Source organism: Homo sapiens, chromosome 22 (genome assembly GCF_000001405.40).
Source record: "Homo sapiens chromosome 22, GRCh38.p14 Primary Assembly".
NCBI lineage: Eukaryota > Metazoa > Chordata > Mammalia > Primates > Hominidae > Homo > Homo sapiens.
The window spans coordinates 49,436,137-49,463,541 of record NC_000022.11 but is presented as its reverse complement, the minus strand read 5'-3'; the positions used below and the strand labels follow the sequence as shown (position 1 = coordinate 49,463,541).

General features: G+C 49.1%; 1 long non-coding RNA gene across 2 annotated transcripts in view, besides 3 other annotated features; it reads left to right on the top strand.

The window, feature by feature from the left end:
• The window catches only part of MIR3667HG (MIR3667 host gene), a 242,996-nt gene that overhangs the window by 193,978 nt on the left and 21,613 nt on the right, over window positions 1-27,405 (top strand). Inside the window, exon 2 of one of the 2 annotated variants that reach the window (NR_110523.2) lies at window positions 22,330-22,666. The exons of the other annotated variant lie outside the window; for it this stretch is intronic. This is a non-coding gene — a long non-coding RNA (MIR3667 host gene). The remainder of the gene's footprint in view (window positions 1-22,329; window positions 22,667-27,405) is intronic. 2 annotated transcript variants of the gene reach the window in all.
• Window positions 72-1,069: an enhancer, noted in NCBI's record as "H3K4me1 hESC enhancer chr22:49856122-49857119 (GRCh37/hg19 assembly coordinates)". NCBI's record gives its function as "activates a minimal SCP1, AML or CMV promoter by ChIP-STARR-seq in naive H9 embryonic stem cells {active_cell/tissue: H9 hESC(naive)}" and the evidence as "EXISTENCE:reporter gene assay evidence [ECO:0000049][PMID:30033119]".
• Window positions 1,070-2,068: an enhancer, noted in NCBI's record as "H3K4me1 hESC enhancer chr22:49855123-49856121 (GRCh37/hg19 assembly coordinates)". NCBI's record gives its function as "activates a minimal SCP1, AML or CMV promoter by ChIP-STARR-seq in naive H9 embryonic stem cells {active_cell/tissue: H9 hESC(naive)}" and the evidence as "EXISTENCE:reporter gene assay evidence [ECO:0000049][PMID:30033119]".
• Window positions 4,883-5,382: an enhancer, noted in NCBI's record as "H3K4me1 hESC enhancer chr22:49851809-49852308 (GRCh37/hg19 assembly coordinates)". NCBI's record gives its function as "activates a minimal SCP1, AML or CMV promoter by ChIP-STARR-seq in naive H9 embryonic stem cells {active_cell/tissue: H9 hESC(naive)}" and the evidence as "EXISTENCE:reporter gene assay evidence [ECO:0000049][PMID:30033119]".

The following is a 27,405-nucleotide window of genomic DNA, read 5'->3' as shown; positions in this document are numbered from 1 at the left end:
CCAACATCGTGAAACCCCGTCTCTACTAAAAATACAAAAAAAAAAAAAAAAAGCCGGCCATGGTGGCAGATGCCTGTAATCTCAGCTACTTGGGAGGCTGAGGCAGGAGAATCACTTGAACCTGGGAGGCGGATGTTGCAATGAGCCGAGATCGTGCTATTGCCCTCCAGCCTGGGCAACGAGAGTGAAGCTCTGTCTCAAAAAAAATAAAAAAACAAAACCAATAATAATTTTGAATAATAAAAGGAAAAGGACGGAGGGAGGGAGAGAACCACCCCAAGAACACCACAGTCTTAATTGCTGCAGGAATGACCCGAAGGGCAGGGGCCTTGGAGGAGAAACAGGGCATTCGCATGGCCTCAGAGTGTGTCACCCAAAGCCTGCACTCGTGACTCTGGCCGTTGTACCATATATCCACAAACTGTCTCATGCCCCTTCCTTCCGGAGGTGGGGCCTAACTCTCCTCCCCTGGAGTGTGGGTTGGACTCGTGACTTGCTTCTAACAACGGAGCAGGAAGGAGCAAAACAGTCCGTGCAGCAGAGAGCTGGGCGATGAGCCGGGTGGGGTGGGGGTCAGCCTGCTCCAGGCAGGGGAGGCAGACAGCACCCCGGCCAGGGACAGAGCTGGTGCACCCGGCACGCGTGTAGTGACGTGCAGCCGCTGCGTGACGGGAGACGGAGCCCACCGCCCCTCCGGGGAGCTCTTCCCCCAAACCCACCATGTTGGTCTCACCAGGAGAAAGCATTAGAGAGTACAAGGTTTTATAAAATCCGTGACCAGAATCCAATCTTGACAATTTCTCATTCTTTTACTTTATTGAAAATTTCTCCATCTTTTTATTTTCTTTTTTGGCCAACTTTTCAGTCTTTCTATTAAAATAATCACCTCCAGTTGTCAGAGTTTGGAGGATGCGGTGAGGAGACCCGGTGACCACACGCAGTGTGATATCCTGGGACAGAAGGAGGACGCTGAGGGAAACCCAAGTCCGAATCAAGCCTTTCATTCAGCTCGTCACATGGTATCACCGTGAATTTCTCAGAGCCACAGACGACTTAATAAGCACATCAATGTGAGCTGCGTTAGCAGAGGGGGAGCGGGTGACAGGCATGTGGACGCTCGCTGTGGCGTCTCTTCAGCTCTTCTGTAAATCTAAAATTATTTCAAGACACAAAGCAAAACAAGTAATACTTCCAAGCCTCTATTTCAGTGATCTATATTTGCAGCATTAATGAGCTACAAGAAAAACAACATGAAAAAGTCCAGCCGATGAAGCGTCGGGGACACTCTTGGGGCCTTCCTGAGTGTGGTGGGGAATGAAGCGTGACTGAAGGACAAACCCCCTCAAAGCCGAGCTGCTGTGGACCCCGGGCTCTAAAGTCCCTGATACACCGGCTGCACCTCTCCAGGCCACAGCCTCTGTCCCACCTGGGCTCCATCTGTGGGCTCAGGGGTCACCCAGGCCAGGCCCGTCTGGGTTCCCTGGAGCCTTACCCTATAGTACATGGCCACCATAGCTGAGGGAACCCACGTGTGGGGGATGGATTTCCAGGCTGGAAGCCTCCGGCAATGCTGTCCACCTGGTGGGTCCCCTTCTGTGTGTCTGCCTTTCCCTGTGACAGCTCTGGCCATGTCACCGACAAACACCTCTGGGTCTCGGCCGCCGCCACACGCTCCTGCGCACCGCCCACCTGGAGGCACCACCCCAGAGACACGAGCCTCGTTCTTCTGAAGAGCCGTAGTCTACACCTTTATTTTATTCCGGAGAGTCATTAAAGGGAACCAAATCCGTATCGGGGCAATGTCTGCTTTGGGGCCCAGTGTCCCCCCAGTTTGTCAGATAGCCGTGCTTCTGCGTCGCTGCCTCCTCCACCCTAAAATCTCAGCCGAGGAGGCCCAGGAGGACACTTGGAATATGCAGAGGGGGAGACGTGGACGAGGGATGACCAACAAACCAATAAAACCCTGACCTGGAGGCGAAGGTTCTAAACACGGAGTGGGGAGTCACCGGTGTGGGGTCTCCTTCACAAGCGGCCTTCGAAATCAGAAGAGATTCCTTCCCTGCTTATGCCAGGGGAACTAAGAATCAGCCCACAGGCAGTGGATTGGCCAAAGTGACCTTTCAGGACGCTGGCCTTGTGCCTCTAACATCTCCCGAAGAGCTGATGAAGCCGAGCCACTTGCTGTTGTGTGTTGAAAATGGTGCAAGACCCTACACAATCATCCCTGAACCCATAATGCTGATGCTCTGATGTAAAAGGAATATTTTCCCCTTGAGATAAAATGCCATCAGATGCCATCTGTGCCGCCTGTAATTTTAGCCATAAATCCTCGTTGTATTTATTGGAGATTTGTTTTTCAAGATGGCTAATTTTAGTCTCCAATTCAACCGCACACTAATTTTCTTGTTTCTTTCTTGCTGAGAAATCTGATATAACAGCTCCTCATAGAAAGGGCTTGGCAGGTTTCCAAAGCCCAACAGCCTCATTTACTTAGAGAGAGGTTATTTTTTCTTTCTTCCTCTCTCCCCTCTCCCTCCTTGTTTTGGTAGCACGGTTAGAATTCAGAAGGGTTGAAATAAAAACAGGATTGCCCTTGTAGAGACAAGTGAGGATGAGCTGGGTGCGGTGGGCATGGAGGCGAGGGGTCAGCCTGCTCCAGGCAGGGGGAAGGTGTCCCTGGACTCGGGGCTGTGGAAGGGGCGTCCCTATCTGGGAGCGCAAGGAAATAGAACAGCAGCAGGAGGGATCTCCGAGCCCAGCACCACGACATTCCCCGGGCACAGCGTTACGCTGTGGAAAACATTTGGAAAGCTTCCTTCATTTTTCTGAAATAGCTGAAGTGATGCAGAAGGTTGGCTGAAAGTCTAAATCTAATTACAATAGATAATCTGGAACAGCCCGTCAATGGGGAAGGAATTGTGGGATGGAAGCTTTTTAAAAAGAGGCACTTAGCCATGAAATCTGCATATACCAGTAAATTTCATCTACAGCAATCAAAATGTGCATCTTCCATCTATTTCCAAAAACTCTGAGTTCTCTTGAGAAGCACCATGACTTGAGTGGAAAATTTTCGGACTGGAGGTGCACGGAAGGGCATTCTATCAGTGGGATGTGCCTTCCTCCAAGGCCTGAGAAGGAGCCCGCCTTCTCCCATCACCCAGGACAAGATTCCCCCACACAGGGGAGGACGCAGGGGAGGAAGATGCCCTGGAGCTTCTTAGAAAGCTCAGAGCTCAGAAAACAGATGACTGGGGTGAGGATTCTTTTAGATGCTGGCTTATGTTGGAATGTGATTACTGGGGGGAAGAATCCACTTCACCATTAGGTGAAAGCTAAATACAGCTACCATTGCTGACAGCATCATCACAGCAAAACTGTTCCACAAATATTCTTGCTCTTGCCGTGTTAGAGGCAAGGCTTAGAGAGGCTAACAGCCTGTCCCAAGCTACCTGCAAGTGTGGGGCAGACCTCCACTCTGCTGTCAGCCTGCAGAGCCCAAACTGGTGCCTCAACCACCTTGCGTCCTGAGGCAGGGTTCCTGTCTCCAGGGGGTCCCCTGAGCCTTATGCACTGCCAGGCACATAATAGGTTCTCAAGAACCATCTAGTGCACATTTTAATGAAAATTGATTATATTTATTTTTTGTCTCTTCAATAGAGGCATCTTATGATATCCTGATTCAATCAGAAGTCACCCAAAGCATCATTTCCTGTGAAGTGAACACAAATCACATACAGACATTGGTGGACACATTGAGAAGCTGGCACCTCCTGAGAAGTGAGAATAGGGTTCTGCTCTCCCCTCCCTCTCTCTGTCCCTTCTTCCCTCTCGAATCCCTTCCATCTTTCCATAGCCACACAGGGAGACGTCACACAGACCGTGTCCTGGCAAGGTGTATATATAGAGAGAGGGAATTTATTACAGGTATTAACATCCACAAATGCTAGTTTATGGGATACATGATGTTGAAGGAGGAAAAATGAAAAGTGCAGGTCCCCACGCTGCAGTGTGTGAAGTCTCACTGCCGGGCAAGGCTTCACCGGATGGCCAGTGAGGAAGGCTGGTGCACATCCACAATGAGGGCAGAGAAGCTCTCCAAGACGAAGATGCCAACATGGCAACGAAGCCATCCATCTGCAGCCCTCGGTCCAATGCATCAGACCCAGAGGCTGGAGGAGCCATTTCAAAAAGACAATGTAACCCCCTGCACACGGCATAACTCATGGTGCAGGGCCAGGAGACACGGCACCTGCTCCTCACGAGGCTCCTGCCCAAGTCAGACTGGTCAGTGATGTTGGAGAGAAACGACCCTTGGCCAGCTGTTCATTGACCTCTGCGTCCCATTCCCAGACTGTCTGTGATTCTAAAATCCACCTGCCATTGTCATCTCAGGGAACTGACATTTGACTGTGAATCCTGGACTCTGACTTGACTCCAAATCGTCCCTCCAGAAGGGCTGTTTCACAGAAAGGCAAGAACTTCATGCCGTCCAGAAACACGGCGTTACCTGTCCTGAACAGCTGGCACGTGAGCACACAAAGCCAGGGTGGAAGGAGCGTTCAAGTGCTCTCCCACCGCGGACAGTCAGCCTGGGGTCAGGGAGTGTAGGGCTGACCAGGTGCCCTGGCCAGGGTCGTCCCGTGCCCCACGCTGCACCTGCATCCCTCAAATGCAGAGTGATGTCAGCGCCCGGGTTGGTCCGTCCATTTGTAAGGGCGGGATGGACACCCCGCAGGGGCTGGGGGTTCACATACTCAACACTGAGTCACAAAGCATGGAGACACCAAATACACACACACAAGACTCACACAGACAAAACTGAGACATACCAAACATGGAGACACAATATGGACACACAATGCTGACACACAGGCAATACAGACACACAATACTAACACACACCACAGTCACACAACACTAACACACATCACACACAACAGGGACACATGCAAGCAACACTGACTCACACACATAATGTGGACACACACAGCACTGAGACACACACAACACAGACACAACACTAACACATGTCACACTCACACAACAGGGACACACACATACAACAGTGACCCACACACAACGTAAACACACAGAGCACTGAGACACAACACAGGCACAACACACACACCACACTCACACAAGGACTCACACATACAACACTGACCCACACACAGTGTGGACATACACAGCACTGATACACACACAACATGGACACACACCAGCGGGCTTATGCAAACAACACTGACACTTACACACCCTGCTGACACACGCCACACAGACACACATCACTCGCACTCACGACGCTGACTCTCCTGCACCTGCCCCCTTCTGCCTTGTGCCCTGTGGCCCCCATCCTGGCCAGGCCTCGGCGATTACCAAGGGCCAAGCAGATGTGGCCAGTGGTCGGGAGACTGTTTTCCTTTGTTAAGGGACGCACAGCCGTGGGTGGTTCCCAAGCTCCGGGGCTGTGCCTGTCCTGCAGGGTTAACGGAAGCCCACCAGCCTCTCTGCCCATCTCTGTCTCCACCCGGGCAGCTGTCTGGTCAGGACAGCATGAGGGGCAGGGGATCCTAGGCTCAGAGGAGGGGCTCAGGGTTCTGTGTCCTCAAGCCATGTCCTCCAGGGCTTCTTAGCCAAGGTGCCCCCGTCACTGATGGCTTTTAGTAGAGCATAGTGCTATCTCTGTTAGTGGTTTTTATACCTATTCTCTATTATATAAAATAGATACATCTTTACAGTCACATGTGTGCAAAAGACACATTTTTACCCAAATGGGTTTAATATTTTAGACATTGATTTTTAGCATCTAATAATAGATAATTTATTTGAAAATATTTGAACCCCTTACCATGACCACCCGTGTGGATTTGACATATGACACTGTTGGGTGCAGAGACCATGATTTATTAACATGTCCTTTGGTGGTAGACAATTAAGGCTTTCCAATTTTTTCCTGGTTTCTGAGATGTCACAATCAACATTCTTTTTCACAAATGTTTGTGTCCTTATGCAAATATGTCTATTTTGAAATAACCCCTAGAAGTGGACGTATGTGTCCAAGGTACCTGCATTTTAAGTTGCAAAGAAGTTGTCAATTGTCTCCGGATGGTTGGTGCCTTCCTAAGTTCCACAGCAGTGTACGGCGACGTCTGGTCTCCCACGTCCGCCCAACCCCGGGGGCTGCTCAGTCACGAGCCTTTCCAAGTCCTGTCTGAACAAGGGCTGCTCGTCTGCTGATGAGGGCGTTGCTGAACCCCCGGCCAGCCGACGACCCCTCCCCTGTGTTCCTGCCCCATGAATCCCCGATTTCTGTGGGCTGCCTCAGCTCATGTCCTCGGCTGCTTTGCTCTTCTCTTGGATTGTTTACCTTTTTACAACTTGTAAGCGATCTTTGTGTATTAATGACATTATTAACCTTTTCTGTGATATGTGTGACAATGTATTTCCATTTTGTACCTTTGCCTTTAAATCTTTATGATATTTTTAAATTGCCTGAAGCTTCTCAAATTTTTTCTTTTATAGCTCACAGGTTGTGTATAATGCCTTGAAAGCTTTCTTTTTTGGTATTTTCTTCTTTTTCCTCCGTATTTTCTTCATGGTTTCATTTTCAGCCCTGGTTCCATCTGGAATTGTGTGTGACTTTATATTTAAAGTGATAAATACTCCAACTTTTTTCTTCTGGCTGCTTAGGGCCCTGCAGTGGTTACCAAGGAAGCACCTCAGCTCTGGAGCTAAATCCTTTGCCCTGTGCTAAATCCCACCCGTGTTTGGGACCTGTTTGGATTGTGAAAACCCTGCTGGGTTTGTCTGCCTATCTGTGCCTGCAGAAGTCTAGAAGCACCTTCATCATCCGGTTTAAATTACGTTATTGGCCGGGCGCGGTGGCTCATGCCTGTAATCCCAGCACTTTGGGAGGCCAAGGTGGGTGGTTCACCTAAGGTCAGGAGTTCGAGACCAGCCTGACCAACATGGTGAAACCCTGTCTCTACTATAATACAAAATTAGCCAGGCGGAGTGGCACGTGCCTGTAATCCCAGCTACTCAGGAGGCTGAGGCAGGAGAATCGCTTGAACCTGGGAGGCAGAGGTTGCGGTGAGCCGAGATCGCGCCCTTGCACTCCAGCCTGGGCAACAAGAGCAAAACTCCGTCTCAAAAAAAAAAAAATTACATTATCACACCAGGGAGGTGCAGCCCTTCCCAGCCCTGGTTTCCTTGGTCATACGTTTATTTTTCCAGATAAACTTTAGAATTATTTTACAGCATTTCCAAACATCCTGCTAGTATTTTATTTGGGGTCTTAGTGAGTGTGTGAGTGAATCAGGAAGCATCGCTGTCTGGAAGGCACCTCACGACTTCCGGGAAGGAGAGGCGTTGGCCGCTCTGGCTGTGTCCCCAGAACCTGTGTCCCTAGAATCTGTGTCCCTAGAACCTGAAGCAGGGACTGGGCTCAGCGCATTGTTGGATGTTGGATCCTGATGGCCTCAAGTCTTCCTGTTCGGGACAGATGTGGATTTTTATTTTACATTCCTCAACAGAATGTCAAATTTTCTCTTTTAGGTCCTGCTCATTCACATCTGCTCCTTTGCAAGCTGCTCCTCTGGGTGCTGCTGGTGGGGTCTCCTTTCCCCTCCCAGCCCCTCCCAGACAGCACTTGGCTCTCTAAGACACCTGCTCGGCTGCCTGGCTGTTCTCCCTCTGCAGAGCTTCGCCACGTGTCCGCGTGAATCCCTCCCTCCCTTCCTGCAAGGCTCTGCCAAGAATCACCTTCTTCATGCAACCCTCCCTAGCCACCCCATGTGAACGCACACAGACGTGCACATGTGCCACAAACAAATGTGTGTATACAGACGTGCACACATGTATACGTGCTCACATGTGTGCAGACATTCACACGCATGTGCGTGCACACAGATGCACACAAACACAGAACTCCCCACCCTCCCCTGCCTCACGCTTTGCATAAAGCGCTGGCTGTCTCACGTGATGAGCGTTTTTCTTATGTACTTGATCTGCCGTCTGTCCCCCCACCTAGATTCCAGGAGGACACAGAGTTCCCACAGTTTCTCCCCCGTGGTGTCCCCACCACTTAGAACAGTGGCTTGCAGGCAGTGGGGCTTAATCAGTAGGTGTTCAGCGGCCACGCTGCCCTCCTCTTGTGCCTCTTACGTGAATCTTGCCACTCTCAATGCGTCCGTGACCACTCACTTTTAGCCACTCCCCCGGAAGCTCTTAGCGACTGGATGCCAGATGTGGGGTGGGGGGAACACAGTGAATGACCCCTCCCTCATGAGCTCTGCGTTTGCAGGGAGTGCCCTGTCCTGTGTCCCCCAGAAAGCCTAGCGCTTGGTGTTAATTATACGATGGCTCATGATTCACATATAAATTGATGTGATGAGTGGAAATAACAAAAGTGGCATCCTCAGGAAACCAGGAACGGTTAAGACACTAATTCCAAATGTTCTTATCTGGTTGCTAAAGCAGACCCTGGTCTCTGTTACTAAATGTACTTGAACGTTGAACAGGAGTGTTCCCTGCACTGACTCCACAGCATGCCCTCGTGCTAACGCCTACACTTGGTGCGGGCAGTGGGGATTTTTGGCCCCCAGGGTAGCCCTGATGGCCTTTCCCCAAAAGGCTTCCCATCTGTGACCTCACCAGGTGGCCCAGGGGTAGAAGTGGTCAGTCACACAGTCCTTGCATGGCAGCTGCCCCTGTTCCGCCCGGGCAGCAGCTGGGAGGCCTTCCTCCTTGTTGACTATCTCTGCAGAACCATCTCTTAAGCAGGGGGCTGGGAGTCATCCTCACCTCCCTCCCTGGCCTCTTCTCCCCATTCCAAGCCTTAGGATTCTTTTGTGTGGAGGATTTTGGCTGAGAGATCCTGTGGGTGGCCCTGTCTAAGGTGCGTAAGCTGTCCCAGACTTGGAACAGAGAGAGAGAGAATTGGTAATACAAGCTCTCTATCTGAGATATATGCAAAAAGTAGATCTTCTCAATTATCCATAAACTTTAAATCTCAAGTTTTTTAGTAGAAAATCTCCCTGGACATCTGAGAGCTGCTTCCATCACAGGCAATGGGAACGCACGTACAAGATGCACAAACTCACCATGAGTATTTCTTAAGTACCTACTGAATAATTGGCTCCTGCCAGCATGCTAATGGAAGCCCAGAGGACCCGAAGTTGACTCAAAGCCCTTCATCTACAAAGGCACCTGTTCCATTTGCATTTTCACCTTATGTGCACTCATTACTATTTCTTTTATATGTTACTAATTATGCACCTTCAGACGTCGCTTTCCCTTTCTTCCATGTGAAAGCAGTTGAATTGCTTGGTGAACAATAGAAAGGGAGATGTTTAAAAAGCACATTTGCACACGTGAACACATCTGGTGAGCATGCTGCATCCCAGCCACGCAAGGGCAAAGGCGCCCACTGGAAGGTGAGCCCGCAAGAGACTGGGCCAACACCGAGCACGGAGGGGATCAGAGCGTGTGTGTGTCCCGGCGGTGTCCAGGTTAATTGCACAGACGCCCTTCCCTCCCTGCTCCTTCTTTACCAGCAGAGGAGCTCTGCCTCCTCACAAGGCAGCTGCTGACTGACAGTCCTGGCTTAAAGAGGAGCGTTTGAGCTCTTTGACATTGTCACAGAGCAAATTGGCACAGCCCCAAAGCTTCTTCAGAGCGTCCACTGCCGTGCTTAATGAGAAGCGAGACAAGAAGATCTGTGGGAGGAAGGACAAAGGCCGCAGGAGCTACCAGGTGTCAGAGATGGAAGCAAAGAGGAAGCAGGAAAATGAGATAAAGGGAGAGGAGGCACAGTACTGGGAAGGCCATGGAGGGTCTCAATGGGCAATGCCAATGGGGCTGAATGTCCTTCACACTCTATGGCCTAACCACAGTCAAGGTGCCCTGTGAGACCTGCAGAGAGTAACATCACTTCCAGAGGACTTTAGGGCCTTATTATCAGCCCAGTCCAATAAAATCAAAAGCATCATCCATTCATCCATCCACCCATCCATCTACCCACCCACACATCCATTGACCCACCCATCCATGCTCCATCCATCCATCCTTCCACTCACACATCCATCCATCATCCATTCACTCATTCACATATCCATTTATCCATCCACCACCCATCCACACATCCATGTCATACATATATTCAGGCACCCACCCATCATCCATCTGCCCATCCACACCTCCATTCATTCATGCAACTATCCATCTACCCACCCACACATCCATTTACTCACCCATCCTTTCATCTACACATCCATCCACCCACTCATCTACAATCCAGCTATCCATTCTTCCACCCACATCCATTCATCCACCCATCCATCCACCCATCCACACATCCACGTCATACATACATTCAGGCACCCACCCATCATCCATCTGCCCATCCACACCTCCATTCATTCATGCAACTATCCATCTACCCACCCACACATCTATTTACTCTCTGCAGGTCTCACAGGGCACCCATCCTTTCATCCACACACCCATCCACCCACTCATCTACAATCCAGCCATCCATTCTTCCACCAACATCCATTCAGCCACCCATCCATCCACCCATCCACACATCCAATCCATCCATCCACCACCCATCCACACATTCACATCATCAATCCATACAGGCACCTGTTCCTCTACCTACCCACACATCCATCCACCCACCCATTCATGATCCATCTATTCATCCTTCCACCATCCATCGACTCACTCATCTACCCATGCATCCATCCATCCATCCATCATCCATACACCCATCCACACATCCATTCATTGATTATCCACCACCCATCCATCATCTCTCCACCCATCCACACATCATCCACCCACTCATTCATGATCCATCCTTCCATCCACCACCCACCCATCCATCCATTCATCCATCCATCCACCCACCATCATCCATCCATTCACACATCCATTCACTCATGTACCTATCCATCTGCCCACCCACACATCTATTTACTCACCCATCCTTCCATCCTTCCACCATCCATCCACCTGCGCATCCATCCATCCATCCACCCACCCACACATCCATCTATCCATCCATTTACCCACCCACACATCCATCCACACATCCATCCATCCATCCATCCATCCATCCATCCATCCATCCATCCATCTTTCCTTGCTTCCATCCATCCACCCATTAATCTCAACGTTCAGCTCTGAGGGTCATGGGTGCTATCTGGGTTTGAACTCAGTCTCTGTGACATACAAGCTGTGGGTTTGTGCACAAGTTATTTCATTCTTTGTGTTTTTGATTCCATGCAAAATCATGGAAATGATAGCACCTTCTTCCCAGAGCTGTTGGGAAAATTAAATTAGACTGGAGATGTGGACTTAACACAATGCCTGGCCCACATTCAAGCTCATGGTCGTTAGCTCTTCATGTGGTGGTGGCTGTTATTTTAGACCTGAAGTGTTTATGGAAGGCTTTGGGGAGGCTCTATGTGAGCACAATCCTAGAGGGAGGGCTTTGGTCAGGAGAGGCAGCCTGGACAAAGGAACAACTGGGGAACAACAGAGCACCATGAGAAGCCAAGGCTGAAGGGGAGGGTGTGAGCGTGCTTTGGGCAAGGCTGAAGGGGAGGGTGTGAGCGTGCTTTGGGTAGGGCTGAAGGGGAAGGTGTGAGCGTGCTTTGGGCAAGGCTGAAGGGGAAGGTGTGAGCGTGCTTTGGGTAGGGCTGAAGGGGAAGGTGTGAGCGTGCTTTGGGCAGGGCTGAAGGGGAAGGCGATGGAGGGGAAGGTGTGAGCGTGTTTTGGGCAGGGCTGGAGGGGTGGGTGTGAGTGTGGTTCAGGCAGGGCAGGTGGTAGGGGCCAGTGTGGGTCCTGCCCAGGAGGGGCCTGGCTGCTCTATCTCAGTGGCCCCCTGTTCCAGCTTCTTTATTTTGCCCACGTGGGTCTGAGACTCCAGTTGGCTCCACTCCAGGGTCATCCGCTCCATGCTGGCTGTTGGGGCTCACACTCTGGTAGGTTCAAATCAAGGGTCCTCATGTATTTTTTTCAGTCCTAAGGAAGTGGCCACATCCTTTCCGGGTTTCAGTTTTCTCATGTTGAGAATTAGTATCTGAATATTTTGACATGAATCCTTTGGAAGACATAATGAAATAATTCCCTCACTCAGTAAGGTTTACCAAGCTCTCAAGTATACCAGGCCCTGACCTCAACAATGGGGGACGGCCGTGGACAGGGAAAAATTCCTGGAGTGGTGACATCCATGCCCCGGTGGCCAGAGGCAGACACTGGACACACCACGCATTGACTCTGGGGATGGCGAGCACCATATAGAGAACAAGGTGGCTGGGGACTGGCCAGCCACGGACAGTGGACGGCATCTCCTCTGCTGAGACGACATTCATCACTCTTGGGTACAAGGAGGGTGTGAGCTTTGGGGATGTCCAGGGACGGGCAAAGGGGGCAGTGACCTCAGCGTGGTGACGTTCTGCCTAAAGAAGTCACTGACTCTCAGCCCATGTTGTCAGCTGAAAGAAGGCAAATGCTGGCTAGTAGCTAAAACATTTTCCTTCTGGAATTCTCTTTCTTTCCGAAATACACTGCTTTGAAATTCATGAGTGATTGTCTGCTGATTGCAAACTCTGGGTTTTGTTCCTCTGAAAATACCTTCCTATCTCTCTCCTTATCAAAAATATTTTTGCGAGTTTGCCATTTAAGTTCGGCAGTTATTTTCTTCCAGGGCTTTGAAGATCTTATCCGACTGTCTTCCAGCTTCCAGGGCTGCTGAGGAATCGCCTGCTGGGTGGAGTCCCCTCCCCCTGAGCAGGGGGCCTTCTTTTCTCTGCAGCTGTTGACTTGGTGATTTGCATTTTCAGCAGGAGGTGTTTAGATGTGTGTGTTTAGGGAGTCAGGGAACCTTTCGGGGCGCGGCGCCCATGCCTGTCCCAGGTGCCATCCTGTGAGCCCTCTCCTATTCCCCAGTAAACACCTGCTCACCATCTCTTCTCTTTTTCCTCCTGCGACACTCAGGGACACACTGGGCCTCAATCCTTTGAGTTTCTTAACCCTTTTCATTCACATTTTTGGTCTTTTTGTCCTTCTGCTTCACCGGGAAACTTCGACGACGTCTTTCCATTTTCTTGAGTTGTGTCTGACTGGCAGTTGGTTTTAAATTCCATCCATCTGTTTGTGTATCTTTCACGATGCTCCATTTTAATTCTGAGAGTCCTTGTTCCTCCCCCACGTTCCCCCACCCCGCGCCCCGCCTCCCCTGGACTCAGCTCTGCTGTGTGAATTCTGAGCTGCAGCCTCCCAGTCCTGCCAGACCTCCGCCCTGATCCTGCATTTCTCTGCTTCCCTTGACTCATGGGTGAGGTGGCTTTTCCTTGGCGAGGCTGTGATGTCTGTTTAATGCAACCCCGTGCTGCCTGCAGGTGTGGGGAAGCACAGCCCTGGCCGAGCGCTGCGTCTGTCACTGAGAACTGCGCGTGGACGGCGTGTCGGCCCCGTGAAATCGCTGGCCTTTCCTGTGGGGGGAGGCGGGGGCTGCACACGTCGGTGAGGGTGGAGGCGCTGGGCGAGAGGTGGACGGGTGGGCACACGTCGGTGAGGGTGGAGGCGCTGGGCGAGAGGTGGACGGGTGGGCACACGTCGGTGAGGGTGGAGGCGCTGGGCGAGAGGTGGACGGATGGGCTCTCTTCTGTTTCCTCTGCTTTGCCAGAGCCAGGCAGGGGGACCCTCTCCCGTGAAGTCATGGGAAGAGAGACCAGGATCCCTTTTCCAGCTCATGCTCCAAATTGTGGCCGTTTGGGGTGTCCTGGCTTTATGGATGTCTGGATTCCGAATTCTCCCGCTTTTAGGGTCCTGCCCCTGCTCCTGCCCCCGCACGCTGCCCACAGCAACTAGCTTCAGGCCCAGGACTGAGCCACCTGTGGTGCCCTCCTGCCCGTCCCGCTCTCCTGAGGGCAGCCCCCATGGCTGGCGGCGTTTCTGTCCTTATTACCAGCGCAGCCACAGGCTTCCACATCTTACCCGGCGTTTCGGCTGCTCTGAGTCAGAAGGGCTTCGCAGGTGCTTTTTCTGAATTCAGCCACATAAACATTTCCTTGTGTATGTGTGTATGCGTGTATGCATGTGTGTATGTGTATATGTGTATGTGTGTGTGTGCGTATGTGTGTATGTGTGTATGTGTGTGTGTATGCGTGTATGTGTGTATGCATGTGTATGTGTGTAGTGTATATGTGTGTATATTTGTGTATGAGTGTGTGTGTTTGTGTGTATATGTGTGTCTGTGTCTGTGTGTGTACATGTGTGTCTGTGTGTACGTGTGTGTATGTGTATGTATATGTGTGTATGTGTGTGTCTGTGTCTGTGTATGTGTATGCGTGTGTCTGTGTGTCTGGGTGTATGCATGTGTCTGTGTGTGTGTCTGTGTGTGTATGTGTTTCTGTGTGTATGTGTATGTTTGTGTGTGTCTGTGTGTGTACGTGTGTGTCTGTATGCGTGTGTCTGTGTGTATGTATATGTGTGTATACGTGTGTGTGTGTATGTGACAGGGAGACAGAACAAACCTGCCCGGGGTGGAGGAGTCCTTCCCAGCGCAGCAGCACTTCCAGGGTTACTGCCCCGTTTTATCCCATTTTTGCTGAATCTGTCTAAGCCATGGGATTTTGGAGAGAAGCACCTGAAGGCCCAATCGCTTCTCCCTGAGCCCCTGGATCTTGTGGAAGGCTGGAGGCTGGGCCTCCGCGGCACCGTGTTGCCTTCCCGCTGGGGAGACGGAGGCGGTCGTCTCCCGGGAGGCCTGTGTGTTCCGGGGGCTGCTGAGTGAGAAGCTCATTTCGAATCCAGAGGCGTCGGCCTCAGGATCAAAGAGCTCACTGTACTCCTGCCTGTGTAACAAGGGCCCTTTCTTCTAGATTCTATTTTTAGATGTAATGTTACCACACTCCACTTGTTTGCTAAATGAACTCATTTTTAATCAAAAATTGCTATCATTAATTATCAGCTGTGTAATCAATATTCATTTTAATTCCGCGGATAAGACTCCCCCTTGAGTTCCCCACCTGACTCGCACACACTCACACACACCCCACAAGGAAATTTATTTTCATCAGGGTTCTATGCATCATTAAGAGGTAGTTTGTCTTATTACAGCCTGTTATTAATGTTCAGAATTCATTTAATTTCACTTTTAACTGACTGTAGCAATGGGATAATTGATTTCATCGGGGAGGCCATGGCAGCCGGTGTGCTGGGAAGTGGCAGGAAAGCTGAAGTTGAGTGTCCTCAGGGCCCAGGGGGACCTGAAGCCCCGAGTGCCCCACCCCAGGGCTCTCAGACTTCACCCTCGCTCTCCTCTCCATCCCACCAGCACCTCAGTCAAGGGAACTCATTCACAGCTCACCCTGTTCCTGACTACATGGTATCATGGACAGGGAAAGAGCCCAAGGTGGCCGGCCACACACAGCCCTGCTGAGCCAGGGAGGATGGAAGGTGCCCCGCGCCCCCTGCCCTGTCCGCAACCCCTGCCTGGTCCGCGCCCTCCAGCCTCTCTAGCACGGCCCATCACAGCAGGGGGCTTTCTCCCCGTGGCCCCACAGGAATGGGGTGCTGCCTCCTCGCTGGGCTGGGGGCTTTGTGGGAGCATTGTTCCGACTGCCTGCACTTGTAGGGTGGGCCGGATCATGCCGATCTCTCTGAAAAGAGAGGAGAGATCAAGTTCAAGTTCACTGATGGCCTTGAGGAGCAGACACAGCAGACTCCAAAACTCAGGACCCCCCACTAACCCTGTTCAGATGCAGTGTCTCCCAGACACACATAAAAGCACAGCTGAGATCTGAGGCTGGGCCACGTAAAGCTAGTAGGCTGGTCAGACAGCTGTGACAGGATATTCTGCATTTAACACACGAAAACGATATTTCTGGAATTCTCATGAAGAAAGTAAATGGCCATTTTCTTGTGTGATGATGCTGAGTCTTACACAATAACTGTGTGGGGAAGTCATTCCAGAAGCCCACAACGATGGCGAAAGCCATATATGAACATTTTCGATGCTTGCACAAATAAATATTTATGACTTCTCTATGCCAAAATATAATTAAAAAGCTGCCAACTGGGGTAATACTTCGGATTTATGTGATAAAGAGTGAACGTTCCCTATGTAGAAAGTGCTTCTACAAATCCATAAGGAAGTGATGAAAAATACTTAAAAATGGGCACAGGGAACCGTCTGGCAATTCGGAAAGGGATATTCACAAACGAGCCCTCAGCAGACCAGGAAACACTCAGGCCTTCCACCCACCGATAGTGGAGGACGCGTTGGCGGAACAGCACCCTGGTGTCTATGCTCAAACCAGCCCTGGCTGGGGGTGGAAGGGGCTCCCCGTGACTCAGGGCCCTGGGTTGGGGGTGGAAGGGGCTCCCCCTGACTCAGGGCCCTGGGTTGGGGGTGGAAGGGGCTCCCCCTGACTCAGGGCCCTGGGTTGGGGGTGGAAGGGGCTCCCCCTGACTCAGGGCTCTGGGTTGGGGGTGGAAGGGGCTCCCCCTGACTCAGGGCCCTTGTTGGGGGTGGAAGGGGCTCCCCCTGACTCAGGGCCCTGGGTTGGGGGTGGAAGGGGCTCCCCCTGACTCAGGGCTCTGGGCGGAGAGGGGAAAGGGCTCCTCCTGACTCGAACCAGCCCTGGGCGGAGGGTGGAAGGGGCTCCCCCTGACTCAGGGCCCACAGGGTTGGCTTTCATCATCCTCCTGGGAGCACCCGGATAGATAACATTAGACACCAGCTTTTCTACTTGAGTCGTAATCTTCAAACAGGCAAGCATTGTTGACACACACGTCGCTTATGATGGGAGAAGATGGATGTAACCCAGGGGGTCCTACAAAGGGGTGCTGATTAAGGAATCAGCAGAGCTCAGCTGCAGACCGCCCCTTCCAGATTTGCCGACGCCTTTCGATAGAGGATGAGAAACGGAGAGTGAGCGTGTGTCTGTTACTTCCCGCAGGGGCCTCCTGTCGGGGGAAAGCAAACATGACCTTGTTCCTATCAGTGGATAGAAAGCAAATTTTTGTTTGCTTTTAGTAGTGCCAATTTTTGTTAAAAAAGGGGAGTCAGTGGAGCCAGGGAAGAGACGTGGTCTTCCCCCTGCGGAGCTGGAGAGGGAGGGCCTGCTGAGGGCAGCCCGAGAACCAGCTGCCAGCTGGACGCAGAGGCCCGAGAGCCAGCCACTAGCCGGACGGAAGGGCCTGAGAGCCAGCCACCAGCTGGAGAGAGAGACCTGGCATTCCCAGCCCCTTGGGGAACCTCTAGAGTCAGCCCCATTGAGTATCTGGGCTGCCATCACCAGTCCTCAGCTTTGCCTGCTTTTGAAAAAGAAGTAAACGGAATTTTGCAGTTTGCACCTTTGGATTGTCTGCTGTGTTTTGATACTGGGTGTGGAGGGTGAATGCCTGCTGCTGTGCACGGCAGCTGTTTGTAGCTCAGGATGATACACAGCTGTGAAGACGCTATACTCGATCCACCTTTCCTACCACTGCTGCCCATTTCAGTGGGAACATTTTTAGGTTTAGCTGTTAGGCATGTTGCATCTATTGGGTATAAACTCAGTAGTGGACTTGCTGGGTGATATGGTTTGGCTGTGTCCTCAGTCAAACCTTATCTTGAATTGTAGCTCCCATCTTCCCCATGGGTCTTGGAAGAGACCCACTGGAGGTAATTGAATCATGGGGGCGGGTTTTCCCCTGCTGTTCTCGTGATAGTGAATAAGTCTCCTGAGATCTGATGGTTTTATAAAGGGAGTTCCCTTGCACACGCCCTCTTGCCTGCTGCCATAAGACATGCCTTTGCTTCTCCTTCACTTTCTGCCATGATTGTGAGGTCTCCCCAGCCATGTGGGACTGTGAGTCCATTAAACCAACCTACCTACCTTCCTTTCTTTCTTTCTTTCTTTCTTTCTTTCTTTCTTTCTTTCTTTCTTTCTTTCTTTCTCTCTTTCTTTCTTTCTTCTTTCTTCTTTCCTTCCTTCCTTCCTTCTTTCTCTTTCTTTCTGTCTTTCATTCTTTCTTTCTTCTTTCCGTCTTTCTTTCTTTTCTTTCTTTTTTTGTTGAGACAGAGTCTTGCTCTGTCACCTAGGCTGGAGTACAGTGGTGTGATCTCGGCTCACTGCAACCTCTCCCTCCTGGGTTCAAGCAATTCTCCTGCCTCAGCCTCCCAAGTAGCTGGGATTACAGGAGCCCGCCACCTTGCCCAGTTAATTTTTGTATTTTTAGAGACAGGGTTTCATTATCTTGGCCAGGCTGGTCTCGAACTCCTGACCTCGTGATCTACCTGCCTCGGCCACCCAAAGTGCTGGGATTACGAACCTCTTTTTCTTTATAAATTATCCAGTCTTAAGTATTTCTTCATAGCAGAAGAAATGAAAATGGACTCCTATGAAAATTGACTCATACACTGGGCCATACAGTCGGGGTGTTTTTACCTGTGGTAGATACTGAAATACAGTTTTCCAAGGAGGCTGAAGCCACCAACATTCACACGAGCAGGTGTGAGGACCGCAGTTCCTCTTCCCGCTCCTCCGCAGCACCGGGCACCGTCTGCTCTCACACGCTGGCCTCTCTGGGGAGTGCGACACGGTTTTCACTCCCATGACCGTGAAGACTAGTGGGGCTGAAGATCTCTTCTGTGCTCGGTGCACATCAGACACCCTTTCTGTGAAGTGCCTATTTCAGATTTCACAGTTTTCAGTCGACCCGTCTTTCTTTGTCTCACTGGTTTGTATGTCTCTTCTGTGTGTTGGCTGCAAGTCCGAGGTTGAGAGAAGTCCTGTGATGTCTTCTTCTCCTTGGGGCTTACCTGTCCACTCTTAGAGCTGTGTTTTCGAGGACAGAAGTTCTTAAGCTGAGTGTCTACCAATGTCTACATTCTACATGTGGCAGGTGCTTTCTGGGGCCAAGTCAAAGTTCTCTGTCCAACGCAAGGTCAGGAGGAGCGTTCTCCCACACGTTCCTCTGTGAGCTTTTTTTGTTTTGTCTTTCACATTCAGGTCTGTGGTTCACTCAGAATTAATTATTCAGGGCAATATAACGTAGCAGCAAGGATTCACTTTCTTTTCCTCAAATGGATCAAACAGAATTTAGTAAGAAGATCTCATCTGCCTGTGCCTCGCAATGTCACCCTCGTCCTGAGTTCAGAGACCACGTGCATGTGAGGTGATTCTGCAAAACTCTTCACCCTGGTCACTGAGTCCACCTGCTCTGCTTCCAGAAATATCACACTGCCTGGATTACTAGGGCTTTGTAATAAGTTACCTTCAACGCCTAGCTGTCTAAGGTCTTTTAACATGAATAGATGTTGAATTTTACCAAGCAGTTTTCGCATCTTCTATTCAAACGATCATATACATTTTCTCCTTTGCTGTCAAGGAGTTAAGTGCATTAATTAATTCCTTTAATGTTAAATTACCACTGCATTGGTGGGATTAAATACGTTCGATCATGATGAATCCTATGGTTTGCAAATTGCTGAATTCAATTTACTTGTATTTGGTTTAGGATTTAAACCGACGTGCTCCGGAGGAAGATGGGGGTGTGGCATTCCTGCCCGTAAGTCAGTTGCCAGGCTTTGGTGTCTGGGATGCCCAGCCCCCTGTGACTCTGGGATATTTTGCCCCTTTTCCAATTTCTGAAAGACACTGTGGAATGTTGTTATCCATATTTAAGCAAATTTGGATGAATTTGCTAACAGAGCTCTCTAGGCCTGAAGATTTTTTGTGGAGAGGTTTTTTATTTCAGATTAAATTTATTTTCCAGAGATTAAAGCTTTCAGGTTTTTTTTTTTTTTTTTTTTTTTTTTTTTTTTTTTTGGTGGGCTTTGCAGGGCTGCACTTTTTATCCACCTATTTCATCCAGTTGTTAAATTGACTGGCATAAACCTGCTCATAATTTCCTTTTTTAAAAACTGATTTTGGCCGGGCGCGGTGGCTCACACCTGTAATCCCAGCACTTTGGGAGGCCGAGGCGGGTGGATCATGAGGTCAGGAGATCGAGACCATCCTGGCTAACAAGGTGAAACCCCGTCTCTACTAAAAATACAAAAAATTAGCCGGGTGTGGTGGCCGGCGCCTGTAGTCCCAGCTACTCGGGAGGCTGAGGCAGGAGAATGGCGTGAACCCGGGAAGCGGAGCTTGCAGTGAGCCGAGATTGCGCCACTGCAGTCCGCAGTCCGGCCTGGGCGACAGAGCGAGACTCCGTCTCAAAAAAAAAACAAAACAAAACAAAACAAAAAACAAAAAACAAAACAAAAAAAAACTGATTTTATGTCTTTAGGCTGTGTGGTTGCCCACTCTTCATTTCTGGGTTTGGTAACTGGTACCTGTTGTCTTTGTATTCCTGTCGGTCTTGGTAGGGGGTGATACTTTGAAGGAGGCTTCTCGGGGAGCTAGTGTTTGGCTAGGTTGGTTTTCCCTGCTGTGTGATCGTTTTCTAAAGTATTGAGAACTACTCACATCTTTCTTACTCCCTTCCCACTCCATTCTTTTAGGTATAATTTGCTAATATTTTCTACTATTTGAGATACAAAGCTGGATAACTGCCTTGTAGCCTTCAATCTTTGGTAACATAGTACTTCAGGATTGAACTAATATTTTCTACTATTTGAGATACAAAGCTGGATAACTGCCTTGTAGCCTTCAATCTTTGGTGACGTAGTACTTCAGGATTGAACTAATATTTTCTACTATTTGAGATACAAAGCTGGATAACTGCCTTGTAGCCTTCAATCTTTGGTAACGTAGTACTTCAGGATCGAATTCCCTCTAATCGGGGTTCCGGCTGCACCCACAAGTTTTTCATGGAGAATTTTATCATTAATTTAAAATATTTTCTAATTTCTTGATGATTTCTTCCTTGAACTATGTGTGACTTAGTAGTGTAGTGTTTAATTTCCAAACACTTTAAAGTTTTATAGTTATCTTTAACATATGGCTTTCTGGATGAATTCTGCTGTGGTCAGAAAACATACTTAGAATGATTTAAATCTTTTGAATTGGAAGAGACTTTTTAATGGTACAACATGTAGTCAATTTTGGTAAATATTGAGTAAATATTTACTATGCTTTGACAAGAACACGACTTGGCCATGCACGGTGGCTCACGCCTGTAATCTCAACATTTTGGGAGGCCACAGGGAGCAGATCACGAGGTCAGGAGATTGAGACCATCTTGGCCAATATGGTGAAACCCCGTCTCTACTACAAATACAAAAATTAGCTGGGCGTGGTGGTGCGTGCCTGTAGTCCCAGCTACTCAGGAGGCTGAGGCAGGAGAATTGCTTGAACCAGGGAGCTGGAGGTTGAAGCGAGCCAAGATGGCGCCATTGTACTCCAGCCCGGGTGACAGAGCAAAACCCTGTCTCAAAACAACACCAACACCAACAACAGCAACAATTACACCCACGACTCTGCTGCCGGGCATAGCGCCATGTCTGTCACCAACAGGGATCAATAGGGGCAGTTCGTTGTTTGTGTGTTTAGGTCTTTATCAAGGTCGGCAAACTTTCTGTAAAGAGCCAAATAATAAATATGGTGGCTGCTATGCAAAATCGGCCATAGAAAACACACAAGTGAATGGATATTGCTGGGTTTCAATACAGATTTATTTACAAAAATAGAGGGAAGGCAGTTTGACCCATGGGTCTTGGTTTGCTGATCCCTGGACTATATCATGAATTATTTTTATTTCAATTACTGAGAGCAGCTTGTTAAGTATTCTCACTATAATTATTGATTCATTGGTTCTCCTTTTAGTTTCATCATTTTTTATTTATGAATTTTGATAATCTTTGGTTAGATGTCAGCATTTGGAGTTCTGTTATATATTTCTGGTAGACTAATATTTTTGTTTTTATTAATAACGTTTTGTTATTAATACAACATGTTTCTTTTCTCATTAATGTTTCTTGCCTTAAAACCTATTTTGTCTGACATTAATTGGGCTATACCGGCGTTCTCTTGGTTAGTGTTTATATGATATGCATTTTTTCTATTTTCATATAGTATTTTAATTTTTCTGTGTTCCTATAACAAAATTGTATAAATTTTATGCATGTTTTATGTATTTATTTTCAACTAACAATCTTTAACTGAACATTTAATTTCATTTCTAAAATATTTGTGTTCTAATTGTCAATGGATTCTTTATTTTCTGCTTCCCTACATCATTTATCTTACTTTTCCTCTCCTCGTCTTGCAGTCTTTTGGATGAACAAGTACTTTTCATTATTCTGTTTTCCTCCACTTCAACCGTTGGTTATAAATGGCATAGGGAGGACCGATTCAGCAGAGGCTTTGTCCCTGGCAGGTGCCACGGGTCGGAGACAGCACGGAAGGAGAGACAAGCCTTACAGAGACAACGTCCAGCGCCGGACAGGACGTGGGAGGAAGGAGCGCAGACGCGGTGCTGGTGGGAGAAGGAGACGGTACTAGCACGGTGGAAAACCTGTGGAAGTTACCCAGCGACGTTGACATACGTGCTCTACGATTCCGCCCAATCATGGGGAGCACAGCCCACAGAAAGGCCTGCACACTCCCTGAAAGATGCTCACAGGGATGTCACGGCTCTGCTCTTCCTCACGACGGAAAAGGGAAACGGCCGCAATACCCGTCTATGGTAAAAAAGATCGATAACTTGGAAACGGGTAAGTATTCAGGATGAAATGTTATCTGGCAACCCAAATGAACCCTCTGCAACTACTCTCAACAATGCAGATGAACCTCGCAAAGAAAATGTGCAAAAGGAACTAACTAGAAAATACAAAGTACTTTACGATTCTATTTATGTAATGTGCAAAAACGAATGCGTTGATAAAAGCTAAGATTGCAGTTATCTCTGGGCGTGTGCAGAGGACAGGAAGGACTTCAGGACTCGGTAATGTTCTCTTTATTAATCTGGTGACACGTGCGTCCTGCTGGGTGAAAGTTCACTGAGCTGTACCTTGCAGGCACCGTTTTGTGAATATGTCAGACATACATCATTAGTAATTGACTCGGAGAAATAATAAAAGGATCTGCAAGGATACAGCCAGAGAAATACACACCCAACAAGTAAGAAGTGAAAATTATCGTTAGACAATGTAGAATCTAAGGTTAAAATAATTCCATTGAATAGAATGGCTGCTTGTATATCAATAAAACATAAACCTGGTGACTGTGGTCAAAAGGCTGGCAGGGAAGTGCATGAAGTGAGAACTGTTGTACGCACGAGAAGAAGGTCCGGAGAAAAATCCAACGTGCCATTTCAATGCATCTATCTTAGAATTTTATTTTTTATTTTTTGAGGTGGAGTCTTGCTCTGTCACCCGGGCTGGAGTACAGTGGTGCAATCTCAGGTTACCGCAACCTCCGCCTCCCAGGTTCGAGTAGCTGGGATTACAGGCATGTGCCACCATGCCCGGCTAATTTTTGTATTTTTAGTAGAGATGGGGTTTCATTATGTTGACCGTGCTGGTCTCGAACTCCTGACCTCAGGTGATCTGCCCGCCTCGGCCTCCCAAAGTGTTGGATTTATAGGTGTGAGCCACCGTGCCTGGCCTCTTAGAATTTTAAAGTTGTAGAGACAAGTAACCAAATGCTTATGAGAATTGTGTGAAAAACCCACAAATGTGTTGAGGTTAGATAGGGAGACTTACATGCCTCAAGCAGAGAATGTGCATTTTTATATAGACAGAAAAATTTGCAAAAATCCTTCACACATGTGGGCACACACATACAAACACACACATGGACCTGAACAAACCCCATAATGCTGATAGGATCCACCCCACTCTTTGATCATAAGTCAATCACATTTAAGGTAAATTATTTAAATGGCCACATTCTGGACATAGCTGGTGCTCACTCGTATCTCTGGTTCTTCCATGCGTCCTGTGTTTCAGGAAAGACAAGCCAGGCCATGTGACTTGCTTTGGCCAATGGCGTGCAAGGGGAGGAGAGGTGCCCGCCTCCCAGGAGATGCTCTGAGGATCCCTCCTGGTCCCCATCTAGTCTCCAGCGGTGGTGGTTGCGGAAGCTTATGGGCAGGCGGAGGTGCCCTGGAACTGAGGGAGCTCAGAGGGGAAAATTCAGCAACGTGGCTGGATACAAAGGAAACATAGGCCGGGCATGGTGGCTCATGCTTGTAATCCCAGAACTTTGGGAGACCGAGGAGGGTGGATCACCTGAGGTCGGGAGTATCTAGACCAGCCTGCCCAACATGGTGAAACTCCATCTCTACTAAAAGTACAAAATTAGCCGGGTATGGTGGCACATGCCTGTAATCCCAGCTACTCGGGAGGCTGAGGCAGGAGAATCGCTTGAACCCAGGAGGCTGAGGTTGCAGTGAGCCGAGATCATGCCACTGCACTCCAGCCTGGGCAACAGTGCGAAACTTTGTCTCAAAAAAAAAAAAGTTTTCTCCCTTCTAGCAATCAGTGCTAGAAACAGAACTAGAAATATACTCTCTTGCACACACACAGGCAGAAACATAGGACAGTATTTCTCCAGAAAGACACAGCACACGTGAAGAGAAGTACAGGACATTACTAAATGCCAAGAGAATATCTACAAAATGAAACATCTCACGTGTTTTGGGGTAAGGATACACAAATTTAAAACTGTCACTTCTCCTAAATGCACATGTAAATTTTCGGCAGTTCCAATTAGATTCCTGCACGGCCCTGCGTGAGGCCCAGCTGTGAATCACAGACATCCCCACGTGACAGTGGTTTCAGCAAGAAAGAATTGTATTAAGTGGTATTTACCTTTTAAAACCTGCAAGAATGTTCTTATCATAGAAATGAAAATGGAATCACAGAAGATGAAGGGCGAGGGAGGCCCATTTAGGGCCGGCCTCAGGGAGGCTCAAGAGGGAGCCGCCATCCTCCTATACCGCCAACCCCCTCCTCCCTCCACTGGGCTGTCAATGTCTCAGAGGGGGCTTCTGGTGACCCTCTGCCTCAGGCCAGCTCCTCCTTCCTCTCCCCTCCCATGGAGGGACACCCCATGACAGGACCCCCTTGTGTCATTGAAATCCACGCACTTCATGAGTCGAAGTCATTTGTCTTAATGGGAAATGTTGTTATTCCCCATCAAGCACTGAAACCAAGAATCCCTGGATATAAACGCGAGGTCACTGCATAATAAAAACAGCACAAACGCAGCAATGCTGCTGGATTCGGCCTCTGCGCTCTGGGAGGCTAGAGAGACTTCAGCGTATGTCACCGGCTCCAAATTCCAGACAATGCAAAGACTAAGAAGAAAAATGGGGCCAACTCCTTTCTGAGGCTGCTGTCCAGGGTGATTTGAGCCGGGCGCTGAGGCGCTTCCCTGAAAGCCTCCCGCTCTGTGCGGACGGAGGTCCTCAGTGGCGCTAGGACCCACATGGGAGCCCAGTGTCCTGGACCCGTGTGGACATGCTTTCTGCCCTATGTGGCCTCTGACCAGGAGCCTGCGGGCGTCTGCTGCCTCTGTCTGCCTGGCAGACGCTGCTTGTCTGGGACACCCCAGCTCCACTAGGCCAGCCCACGGCCACCATGGCCACAGAGGATCGCAGCTCTGAGGGCTTTTCCATAGTGAAAGGTGGGAGGAAGGAAGCTGGGCTGGGTTGCTTTTCCTACTCATTCATTCATTCATTCCTAACTGCCAATTTCTCTGGGGAGGAATGGAGGGCTGCGGGAGTCCTTTTCTTTCCTGCCTTCCACCTCCGCACCTGCTGCAGGTGTGGGGTTGGCCATCTGAGTTCCTCCACTGGCTCCTCACGCGTACGAGAAGACCGTGTCGCTACTCTCACCCCAGGCGCTGGAAAGCAGAAACACCGAGGTGCAGCAGTAGGTAATCTTTACTAAAAATGGCAGGAAATGAAAACAGTGAGAAAAAACGGGGAGACACGGTGAAGGTGCCCACAGTCACCTGGACGTGAGGAATGGGCCACGCTGCTGGCAGCTGTGCCCGAGCAGGTGGATTTGGGATCCTCGTGCAGCTCTGGGCTCTGGCGTCGTGACTGGGACGGGGTCCTGGTGGCTTCTCCTCTGAGGGGAAGAGAGGGAGGGCAGCACGGACTCCTCCCCAGCAAGCATCCTCCTTTAGATGCGATCAGACTTCCTGACTCGGTCCCGCTCAGGTCGCAATCGAAAAGCACATAGGTGATAATAACAGAGGTTATTTTTTAGTGGAGACTCTTACAGCCAAACAGATGTGGGAAGCAAGAGGTGTATCTGGCCTTTGCTTAGAATATGAATTCTCCCGTTCTGGTCTTTGCTTCTCCGGGAATTTTTTTGTTTTGTTTTTATCTAGAGTAAGAAGGATTACATCTAATTAGGCATTGTCACTGCCAAGAAATTAATTGCAATCTCTGAATATTTTGGATTATTGAGCTGTGCGGCAAATCTTTAATTACTGTCTACTGACTCTGCCATTTTTGTTAACAATAAATCAGTCCTCCTCGCTGTGGCTGCAAACGGTGCCATCTTTGCTCAGCATCTTACACAACCTTGGCCTTCCCCTTGGGTGACCAATGTCTGGAAGTCACCCACTGCCTTCCTGTGGAGGTCAGATCCCTTAATTCACTGAATAATTAGATTTCCATAAAAATCAAAGAGAGCCACCTCTGACGAGTGACAGCATTTCTGTGCCATTTACGATCCCCACACACCTTGACCACTTTTTATGGATGGCTCTTTATATTTTAATGAAAGAAAGCCAATTAGCTATAAACTGATTACTAAGAACATAATCAGGGTCATTTCTTTGCAACAAATCAATCAACAAAATGCTAATTATGGATGGTCTTTTAGACTTGGATTAATCTATTAGTAATTAAAGAGAAGTGCAAATCCAACCTCGATCTTAATTGTAGCCAAAAGGCACAGACGTCTTTTTGTTGACCCATAAGATGCTGTTATTTAGCTTAATGCGGAAGGAAAACCCATCAATTGTCTGGAACTTCATGGCTCTAATAACATGTTCAGAGGAGGTCTTTGGAGGCGTTCATGGGAAATGTAACTGGGGTTATGCTTTGGAAAGATGGAGATCTTTTTTTCTGATTCATTTATACTTTAATTTGCATTTTTATTGTGCTTGTAAAAGAAGCTTTTTTCTAAAGCAGAGTAGTAAATTCCCAGACCTAAGCCTCGTGAAACCCGACTAATTTCTTTCTTTGACAGAGAATGACGGCTGGACTGGGGTGAGGTCAAGATGACACAGTGTTGTTGGGATGACCCAGTCCACGGGAGAGAGTGGCTGAGAGTGGCTTAGTCCATGGGAGAGAGTGGCCGAGAGCGGCTTCATCTGCAGGCTCCTGGGAGCACTGGGCAGGGGTCACGGCGGATGGGCACTGCTGTGTGGCTCTAGGGACCTACAGGTCTCTCCACATGCACACCGTTTGTTTTCTTTACAAAGCTTG